This window comes from Homo sapiens, chromosome 1 (assembly GCF_000001405.40).
Source record: "Homo sapiens chromosome 1, GRCh38.p14 Primary Assembly".
Lineage (NCBI taxonomy): Eukaryota > Metazoa > Chordata > Mammalia > Primates > Hominidae > Homo > Homo sapiens.
This window is the reverse complement of record NC_000001.11, coordinates 13,302,098-13,313,031: the sequence shown is the minus strand read 5'-3', so window position 1 is coordinate 13,313,031 and position 10,934 is coordinate 13,302,098. Positions and strand designations below refer to the sequence as shown.

The 10,934-nt window shown below is 44.9% G+C and overlaps 1 protein-coding gene across 1 annotated transcript; it reads right to left on the bottom strand.

Moving 5' to 3' along the window:
* Positions 1–4,124: 4,124 nt before the first annotated feature.
* On the bottom strand, positions 4,125–9,493 carry PRAMEF33 (PRAME family member 33). Its single transcript, NM_001291381.1, has 4 exons — positions 9,446–9,493; positions 6,791–7,102; positions 5,816–6,394; positions 4,125–4,703 (listed from the first exon to the last, which is right to left on the bottom strand). The coding sequence occupies exons 2-4, from the start codon at positions 7,075–7,077 to the stop codon at positions 4,145–4,147; spliced, it is 1,425 nt and encodes a 474-aa protein (NP_001278310.1). The 5' UTR covers positions 7,078–7,102; positions 9,446–9,493; the 3' UTR covers positions 4,125–4,144.
* Between the last annotated feature and the right edge of the window lie 1,441 nt (positions 9,494–10,934).

Below are 10,934 nucleotides of genomic sequence, written 5' to 3'. Positions count from 1 at the left end.
ACAAAAATTAGCTGGGCATGGTGGTGCCCACCCATAGTCCTAGCTACTCGAGAGACTGAGGCATGATAGTCGCTTGAATTCAGGAGGAGGAGGTTGCAGTCAGCCAAGATTTCACCACTGCACTCCAACTTGGTGACAGAGCGAGACTGTCTCAAAACAAACACAAACGAACAAACAAACAAAGAAAAAAGCTGGAAAAATAAATTCTGAAAGAATTTCCATCTCTATGAATTCATCTTCAGAAGTGATAGCATTTCCTGCTTGGCATTTTTTGCCTACATTTTTGGCATAAGATCTATCAACAAAAAGTATGAACCCAGGTTTGTGTAATGGAATATCTTAAACATCAATAGGAGGAGTCAATAGTTCTGATGCCACACACACACATGTATGGTCTTCTCCATCATCAGAAAATGGCAACAAAGTGGTAGAGTTATGCAGAGTGTAGCATTTGAAATGGAGATTTGAAGGTGACAAGGAAAGGATTTTGTAAGACATTAGTGTACAAGTTGAGCAATGTTGGTTCCTGTCACAATATTTTTATTGATTTATTTATTTTATTCATTTATTTTTTGAGATGGAGTCTCGCTCCGTCACCAGGCTGGAATGCAGTGGCACGATCTCAGCTCACTTCGACCTCTGCCTCCCCGGTTCAAGCAATTTTCCTGCCTTAGCCTCCTAAATAGCCGGGACTACAGGTGCATGCCACTACACCTGGCTAATTTTTTGTATTTTTAGTAAAGACGGGGTTTCACCATGTTAACTAGGATGGTCTCAATCTCCTGACTTCGTGGTCTGTCTGCCTTGGCCTCCCAAAGTGCTGGGATTACAGGCCTCAGCCACCATGCCTGGTCGGTTCACATCAAAATTTAAGAGGTATTCAATTGCATATGAAACTTGTAGGCAAAGTTTATTTCTTTTTTCTTTAAAGCATTAATTAATTTATTTATTTATAATGTATTTATTTATTAATTTTTTTTTGAGATGGAGTTTCACTCTTGTTTTCCAGGCTGGAGTGCAATGGTGCGATCTCAGCTCACTGCAACTTCTGCCTCCCGGTTCAAGTGATTCTCCTGCCTCAGTCTTCCAGTTAGCTGGAATTACAGGCACAGGCCACCACACACAGCTAGTTTTTGTATTTTTAGTAGAGACAGAGTTTCACTATGTTGCCCAGGCTGGTCTGGAACTCCTGACCACAGGTGATGCACCCACCTCGGCCTCTGAAAGTGCTGAGATTACAGGCATGAACCACCGTGCCCGGCCTAAACTCATCACTTTTAATACTTTCTACATCACATGAGGAAGAAGAGCAGAAACACTTGAGTACTTCATGAAAGTCAAGGTTGGTATGAGTTTGGGTTCTAATATGATCAATTTCTGCTTCTAGGGAACCAAGCAGTTCAGGTTAAGGAAGGTCAGGAAACTCTAGGGTTTTCTCTCCCTCCAAAGAAAGCTTTACGCATCAACTTAACGGAGAAAGCAAATCTCATCCCCATGTTGTCACTTAATAAAAAGCCATACTTTCCTAAAAATGGTCCAAATGTCATTTGGACTGCTTCAAACACAGGAATTTTCTGAACTTCATGTGAAACCCCTCCTCAGAAATATTTTCCTTTCTCCAAGGGATTTGCTGATATATTGGCTGTACACTGGATATGGCAGCCCTGGTTTCCACCAATTCTGTACCTAAGTCTGCAATGATCTTAATCTCACCTTCTCCATTTTTATTTAAGGCTATTATAGAAAACAATTTACCAGAGAGTTATTTTAAATTCCATCAATATGGAGACATCAGAAATGTCCTCTAGCTGGATGTGGTGGCTCCTGCCTGTAATCCCAGCACTTTGGGAGGCTGAGGTGGTGGAATAACCTGAGGTTGGGAGTTCGAGACCAGCCTAACCAACATGGAGAAACCCTGTCTCTACTAAAAACACAAAATTAGCCAGCTGTGGTGGTGCATGAATGTAATCCCAGCTACTTGGGAGGCTGAGGCAAGAGAATCGCTTGAACTCGGGAGGTGGAGGTTGCAGTGAGCTGAGATCCCACCATTGCACTCCAGCCTGGGCAACAATAGTGAAACTCTACCTTAAAAAAAAAAAAAAAGGCAGAAAAGTAAAGAAAAACAAAAAAGAAATGTCCTCTAATGTGAACAACCTCTGGGACAAAAGCATTCTGTCCAATAGAGACCTGGTGCATAGGTGGACAATTTTCATTCCAATGGCCTGTTTCAAGGGTGGCAGGCAACTCTAGCAGGGTTTCTGTGTTTACACCAAACTGGATTTGAGTTTTAATAGTAAGGGGATCTCCCCCATAAAAAACCAACAGAAAATAATGGATGCTATGAAGAATATGGAGAAATGAGAACCCTGGTACAACATTGGTAGTTATGTAAATTAGTACAGCTACTAAGGAAGGCAGCATGGAGTTTCCTCCAAAAAATAAAAATAGGATTACCATATAAACCATAAATCCCACTGCTGGATATATATCCAGAAAAAAAAAAGAAATATATCCAGGAGATATCTACACTACCATGTTGGTCAGGCTGGTCTCGAACTCCTGACCTCAAGTAATCCACCTGCCTCAGCCTCCCAAAATTCTGGGATTACAGGCATGAGCCACTGCACTCAGCTTGCACTCTCCTATTTATTGTAGCACTATCCACAATAGCCAAAATTTGGAATCAACATAAGTGTCCATCAACAGATGAATGGATCAAGAAAATGTGGTAAATATACACAACAGAATATCATTGAGCTGTAAACATGAAGGAAATCCTGTCATCTGCGACAACATGGATGGAACTGGAGGGCGTTATGTTGAGTGAAGTAAGCCAGATACAGAAAGACAAACATGGCATGTTTGCACTCATATTTGGGAATTAAAAAACACGAAACTTAAAAATAGTAAAATGACGGTTATCAGAAGCTAGGAAGGGTACTGGGAAATAGAGAATAAGAAGGGGATGGTTAATGGGAACAAAAACACAGACAGGAATAAGATCTAGGGTTCAGTAGCACAATAGGGCAACTCGTGTTGACAATAGTTCATAGTAAATTTCTACATAATTAAAACAATGGAATTGGAATGTTGCTAACACAAAGAAATGATAAATTCTTGAGATGGTGGCTATTCCTGTTACCATGATTTGAACATTACACATTTTATGCTTATATCAGAATTTCAGGCCAGGTGCAGTGACTAATGTCTACAATCTGAGCACTTTGGGAGGCTGAGGCGGATGGTTTGCCTGAAGTCAGGAGTTCAAGACCAGCCTGGTCAACATGGTGAAACCCCCGTTTCTACAAAAAATACAAAAAATAGCCAGGCATGGTGGCGGGTCCCTGTAGTTCCAGCTACTCAGGAGGCTGAGGCAGGAGAATTGCTTGAACCCAGGAGGCAGATTTCTAGAGACTTCTGATGTATAAATGTCTAAAACAGGTTGATCAATCATGGAAGACACCAGAAAGTTTCCATTCAGGTTCCATTTATTTTTGACATTTTTAAATAACCATCCTTGCAGGGGTAAGTCCTGCATCACTCTAGAACTTCAGGTTCCATTTCTAAGTCTAGGACACAGGTCCCTGAAGGCCTCATTGATGCCAAGTCAGCATTTTTACCCAGTCCTGCCCCTGGCTGAGTCACCTTTGTTTTTCCACTCACAGTGAGCACGTGCCTCAAATACGTGGCTGTGTGCTTCCTTTAAGAAGCGGGTGACCGGGCCCTGCTGCTCACACCTGTAAACCTGGCACTGTGGAAGGCCAAGGTGGTCAGATCACTTGAGGTCAGGAGTTTGAGGTCAGCCTTCGCCAACATCGTGAAGCCCTGTCTCTACTAAAAATACAAAAATTAGCCAGGCGTGGGGGCATACACCCACAACACCAGCTACTTGGGAGGCTGAGGCAGGGGAATCACTTGAACCCAGGAGGTGGTGCTTGCAGTGAGCTGAGATTGTGCCACTGCACTTCATCCTGAGGGACACAGTGAGACTCTGTCTCAAAAAATAAAATAAAATAAAATAAAAATAAAATAAAATAAAAAATATAAAAAATAAAATAAAATTTTAAAAAATGCACCCATGTACAATATTTTAGTTCCCAAGTGTCCAGAAAAAAGCTTATCCATCCCACGAACCAGGCCTTCCCTAGGAGCAAAGATGGAAGTCCACTTTCTCAGATGGCCATGAGCCACAGGTAGGGCAAGGGACGGGACCAAAGAAGATCCTCTTGGGCTGCCTGACTTCCCTGAGTGTACGCATCAGCTCAGCCCGAATTGGGGTGAGGATCTCCCAATTGACATGACCCTTGTAGTCAAGACTCTCCAGAGGGGCAGGATACAACTCCAGGCCTAACTTGCTCAGCCCACGTGTGTGACGCAGCAGGTCTTTCAGAGCATTCATGGAGGTCTCATTTCCATGAAAGTTGAAGGTGGTGAGCTGGGAACAGTGGCTCAGGGCAGGCAGGAGGACCCTGAGTTGGGGGTCCTGGATCCGACAGTCCTTTAAGACGAGGGTCTTGAGAGTAGCAGCAACTTTCTCTAGCAGAGCTCCAAGGGGCTGAAGATTGGTGGTCCACATTAGGATATGAATCAGACGCAGCTCCTTTAGCTGACTGAGGCTTGGGTACTGAGACAGACACTCCATGTCCCGATCAGCTAGGTAAGCATCACTGAATATAAAGGCCCCCAAGGGGTTCTTGAGGTACCTGGGGAGAGCAAGAAGTTAGTTATGGGCAATGGTGCCAGTTAGAGGAGGGGGGTGGGAAATCATCTCAATGGTAAACTTGAAGTGGGCATTGAGTAATTCTGCACCTTACTACCACACAGGTGTTATAGTAACTGCAATGGGGAAGCCTGTTTCACCCAAACACAAGTTTGTTCCCATCATCAGATGATGGTCTGCATGCAAGGTGCTGCCTGATGAAGACTCAGATCATTCAGGGGCCACTCCATTTTAGGCTCAGTCCTTTCACCCTTGCCTGTGTGATTGGTACCACTCTCACACCTAGTCCCTCACCCTCCATCCCAGAAGCATGCACTTCTGATATCAATTATCTTTCCTGGAGTTCAAAACAACGTTTTACAGACAGGGAATTAGAGCAGTTTGCTAAGCTGCTGAAGACAGAGCTGCTACTGTGGAATGCACAGGTTTGATGTACTTTCTCTTTTTTTTTTTTTGAGACAGTCTCACATTGTAACCTAGGCTGGAGTGTAGTGGCACCGACTCAGCTCACTGCAGCCTCCACTTCCCTTGCCTCAGTCTCCCAAGCAGCTGGGATTACAGGTGCCTGTCTGCATGCCCGGTGACATTTTTTTTTTGTATTTTTATTAGAGACGGGGATTCACTGTGTTGGCCAGACTGGTCTCAAATTCCTGACCTCATGATCTCCCTGCCTTGGCCTCCCGAAGTGCTGGGATTACAGGCATGAGACACCACAACCGGCCACACCTTCCCTTCTTTCATACCATCCTCTGTATGAAGAATGTGTTTTCATCATATTAACTTTATACACTGTTCCTCACAAGGAGTTCACAAATGCACCCTCACTAGATCTGAACCCTCAACTAACCGGCTCCCTACACACCTCTCTCTGTGGCATCTACCCCAGGCCATCCCTCTGCCCTTATTTGAGTGGTCTTGTGATACCCACTTCAGGATATAGAGCACTGAAGAGCATAATGAGTTGACATTCTAGCGTCCCATTCCCTATGACATCACCGGTGGCTGGCACACAGTAGATGCCCACTAACATTTACTGTGAAAAAGAACATAAGTCTGTGGTATGGTCTGCAGAGAAAGCTCACCATCATTTCTTACCTGAGCAGGTGCTCCAGGTGCTCTTTGATATTACTGATCTTTTTTATATAAAGCATCTGGGGGTAGTACAGGCAGAGGAATGGAGAGTCCAAGTCAGGAATGCACGGCCACTGGACGCTCACGTACAACTCACGCTCATAACCGAAGGCTAAAAAGAGTTCACGAAGATTGCTCATCTGGCTCAGGTAAGGGGCAAACTTTCCCGTTTTATTGAGAGAGCACTTTTTCCAGACTTCCAACTCCTGGATACTGTCTGGGTATATCCTTTCCAATAGATTTCTGAAACTTGAAGTGGGCATTGAGTAATTCTGCACCTTACTACAACACAGGTGCACTAGGCCTCTTCTGTAGTGGATCCACCCAAAAAGGTAGCTCAGGCATTCATCCAGTGTACTTTCCTTTAGGCAGAGGTCTATGAACACCTTCAAGGGCTGGTGCTCTCCCATCCTTGGACAGTCCTCCACTGTCTGCCTCTTACTCATGGCCTCTGGGGAGCAGGAGAGGACCCTGGCTCCAGACCATATGGTCCAGAAATTCTCATCAACATCCTGCAAATCCAGCACTTGAAGTTTCCACCTCCTATGAGTAACATAGGGGAAAAGCTCAGAATGTAGGCAAGGACCCACCCCTGACCTGAGCTTTCACTCCACATCCAGGACATCAGTCAGCTGCTCCTGTCCTCAGTGCTCCTCCTTCTGTCTCTTCTCCATCCTGCTCCCTCTTGGATTCTGCCTGGTACCCACTTCTAGTACCTTTACTTTCTGCTGGGAGGAAGCAAGCTCCTGTTTCCTCAGTGGACCCTGTATGGTGAGCAGACCTTTTCCAGAGGATCTGGGCAATGGCCAAGGCCTCTCATGGGCACCGTCAGAAGCCTCTGAGCCACCCTAGCTCCCCAACCCCACCACTCCTCCTGAGCCAGCTGTCCCTTCCCTGGATGCCTGGACCCTTCCCCGAAAGCCACCTGAGTCACCTCACCTGGGGCGAACCTTCTGGGCCACCAGTGTATCAAGTCCCCTCAGGACAGCTTGCAAGGTCTCCAGATGAGGTGTCTTCATCAGGGATCCCAGAGGGAGGCGGAGGAAGGGCCAGGCCTGCACCATCAGCTTCAGGGCCTCAAAACGTCTCATGCTGAAGGCCTCCATGAACATCAGAGGGAAGACCTCCCTGGGCAGCTCATCCAGGGTGAAGATGGTCAAGAACTGGTTCCTCAGCAGGCTCTGCCCTGCCAGCTCCAGCAGTCTGGATGGGGCCTGGAGGCTCATTCTGACAAATCTCCGAGGAAAAACTCTAGAGGACAATCAAGTGAAAAGGCAAGTTTCTCGGGCCATTCCCCAGCAAGCCCCACTTCTCCTAGGGCCAAAGTCATTTCTCTAGCACGTGTGAAAGAGCCCTCAGTTTACTCCAATTCCGTTCTGCAATAAGTGGCTACAGAGGCATGGTTCTGCCCTTCTGGTACCAAGAAGAGTGTGTCCCAACCTCTAAAGAGCAGGCAAGATCCCTCCTAGTCCATGAATTATTAGCCACTGTTGCAATAAACTCATAGCACTGGGAAATGTTACCGAGGATCTCTGAAGCTCGGATCTCATGCCCAGCTAATCTTTTATTTTTTGACTTTTTGTAAAGACAGTGGGTTTCACTATGTTGTCCAGGCTGGTCTTGAACTCCTAGACTCAAACATTCCACCCGCCTTGGCCTCCCAAAGTACTGGGATTACAGGCGTAATCCTCTTCCCGGACTCATTATTGAAAATTTCACCAAGAAGCTTTGAAAGCTGTGTGACAGTGTTATGCATCATTCGCAAGACACAGATGTTTCCAATACACACCTCTTACGCATGTTCAAAATGAACCACTTTGGCTGTGCGCAGTGACTCACACCTGTAATCCCAGCACTTTGGGAGGCAGAGGCATTGGATTATCTGAGGTCAGGAGTTTGAGACCATCCTGGCCAACATGGTAAAACACTACCTCTACTAAAATTACAAAAATTAGCCAGGTGCAGTGGTCTGCGCCTATAGTCCAAGCTACTAGGGAGGCTGAAGCAGGAGGATCGCTTGAACCCAGGAGGCATAGGTTGCAGTTAGCTGAGATTATACCACTACAATCCAGCCTGGGAAATTGGCTAGATTCAAAAAAGAGAGAGAGAGAGAGAGAACTACATTGGATTAGACTTCTTAAGCTCCATCCAGTTAATCATGATTGGATTTTTGTCTTTCTTCCAGATTAACTATCAAATTAGATATTCATCCATGAAAGTGAAATATTTAGGGATATGGTGAAAGTCCAGGACTCATTCACTGATTTACTCCACAAACATGGAATTTTAGTAATATGTGACCTTTGTAGTTCTGAGTGTGAGATAGGGAAGAGTTGAATCTCTTCCTGACATTAGACAGAAAGAAAAAAACTCGAAAGTATCTTTGTTGAGAGATCCTTGGCCACATCAAATTTATCAAAATATTTCAGAGTTAAAACAGTTTTACAAAGATAGACATGACAGTCCCTAAGAAAACACAGTAGAAATCTTCATGAATCCAATGATCACCTGGGTGGTATAATTTAATTTTTTTCGTGTCGGGGTAGCTGAGTCTCACTTCATCACCCAGGCTGGAGTACAGTGGTGCCATCTCAGCTCACTGTAACCTCTGCCTCCCAGGTTCAAGTGATACTTATGCTTCAGCCTTCCATGTAGCTGGGATTACAGGCATGCACCTCCACACCCATGTCTCCGTTTGGGTGGAAGAGTTACAATGAGGATGTGATTGGTTTAAAATTAAGGTCAAAGATCCTCTTTGGTTAAGATTTTTTTTCTTTAATAGGGCCTCGCAATGTTGCCCAGGCTGGAGTACAGCAGTGGTATGAGCATGGCTCACTGCAGCCTCAATCTTCTGGGCTCAATTGTTTCTCCCATGTCAGCAACCCATACAGTTGGGAAGACAGATGCATGCTACCATGCCCGGCTAATTAAAAAATATGTATATTTTGTAGAGGCCAAGCACCAGTGGCTCATGGCTGTAATCCCAGCACTTTGGGAGGCCAAGGCAGGTGGATCACTTGAGGTCAGGAGTTTGAGACCAACTTGGCCAGCATGGTGAAACCCCACCTCTACTAAAAATACAAAAAGTAGCCAGGCAAGTTGGCAGTTGGATGTAATACCAGATACTCAGGAGGCTGAGGCATGAGAATTGCTTGAGCCTGGGAGGCAGAGGTTGCAATGATTTGAGATCGTGCCACTGCACTCCAGCCTTGGAAACAGAGCGAGACTCCATCCCCCCTTCAATAAAGAATATTTTATAGAGATGGGTTTTTGCCGTGTTGTCCAGGTTGGTCTCAGACCCCTGGGCTGAAATGATCCTCCCGCCTTGGTCTCCCAAAGTGTTGGGGTTAAAGGCATGAGTCACTGCTCCCTTCAAGAATTTTGAAATGACATAAACCAAAGCACAATCCAATTTTTTGAAATAAAGACAAAACTGCATTTAGAGGAAAAAATGCAAAGCTTCAAATTGTTCATATGAGAAAAAAAACAAAACAGGATATAACTCTATGCCATCTTAGGCTGCACTGTCACCATCCCAGACCAGCTGACTGTAGGTCAGTTGGGAGTGTCCTTACAGAGAGATTAGTGACTTACCAGATCTGGACTCAGTTTGGAGGGTGCTCAGACCTCAGGAAGAACTAAGCAGGAACTCCAGACTTGAAGACTTTGGGTCTCTTCTGTGGGTCTTTAGAAGCTTTTATTGACCTTTCTAATCACAACTCCCACCCACACCCCTCCACGTATCCACTGCTAGCTTCCAATCAACAAGTGATATCTGATTGCATTTCTGAAGCTCCACCCAGTTAATCCTGATTGGGGTTTTGGCTCTCCCCAGATTAATGGATTGAATCAGATATCCATTCATATCAGATATCCATATTAAGTTCATGAATCAAGAAATTGACAGTGTTAGGGATAGGGTGGGAATCAAGAATGCATTCATTCAAGACCGGGCAAGGTGGCTCACTCCTGTAATCCCAGCACTTTGGGAAGACAAGTTGGGTGGGTCACCTGAGTTCAGACATTCAAGACGAGCCAGGCCAACAAGGTGAAACCCCGTCTCTACAAAAATACAAGAATTAGGCAGGGACGATGGCACATGCCTGTAATCCAGCTACTCAGGAGGCTGAGGTGGGAGAATCGCTTGAACCCAAGAGGCAATGGTTGCAGTGAACCAAGATTGCACCATTGCACTCCACTCTGGGTGACAGAGGGAGAATTTGTCGGAAAAAAAAAATTCATTCATTCGTGAACTTCACAAACACTGATGGAATTTCACTAATATGTGACCTGCATAGTCCTGAGTCTGAAGCAGGGAAGGGTCTAATCTTTCCCAGATATTAGACAGAAAACTAAAATCTGAAAGTAGTATTGTTGGGAGATCTTTGGCCACATCAAAATCACAAAAATGTTTTATAGTTAAAATAGCTTTATAAAAACAGAGGAGTCGTCCCTACAAAATCAAAATAAAAATCTCCATGTATTGAATGGTCTTGTGGGTTTTATATCACCTAAGGTAGCAATTTTTTCACTCCTGCTGGTGGAAGAGAGGTGCCACTGAGGACCTGAGTGGTCTCAGGGCTTAGGTTAAGGTTACTCTGGAAGAAATTGCAACCATACTTATAAACTTTATAAATTTAATCAGTGAAGAAGGGAGGGGGAGAAACAGACATAAACCAAGCTTGCAGTGCATTCAGCATTCATCATGAGGTCAGCTTGCTCTCTGACCTGCTTCCTCATGGTTGCTGGCAGCCTGCTGTCCCAAAATCATGTAGACCTTAGATTACAGTTGCCCTTAACTGCCCTGCAGACAACAATTTAGGCCTTGTAAAACATTAACTTTTTCATTTGACATATTCTTTCAGGTTCTGCATGTCAGTGAAGCTACTGATGGCAGGTGATCTGAAGGGCCCTGCAAGGCACCAACTCACCAAGGAATGCAGTTTTGACATCCTGATGACTTCATACCTCTTACTGCCACCAAACTGCACCAACTTTCCAGCCTCTTGCTATCCATGATCCTCTGAAAACTCTCAGTACTTCTTGGGGAGATGAATTTGAGGGTCTCCTCCCAGCTTTTCAT

Excerpts from the sequence above, each read along its gene's own strand:
- PRAMEF33 (NM_001291381.1), bottom strand. The coding sequence starts at position 7,077 with ATGAGCCTCCAGGCCCCATCCAGACTGCTGGAGCTGGCAGGGCAGAGC. Across the intron at positions 6,395-6,790 it reads GCCCAGAAGGTTCGCCCCAG|GAGGTGGAAACTTCAAGTGC; the intron begins GTGAGGTGACTC and ends TGTTACTCATAG. Across the intron at positions 4,704-5,815 it reads CACCTGGAGCACCTGCTCAG|GTACCTCAAGAACCCCTTGG; the intron begins GTAAGAAATGAT and ends TGCTCTCCCCAG.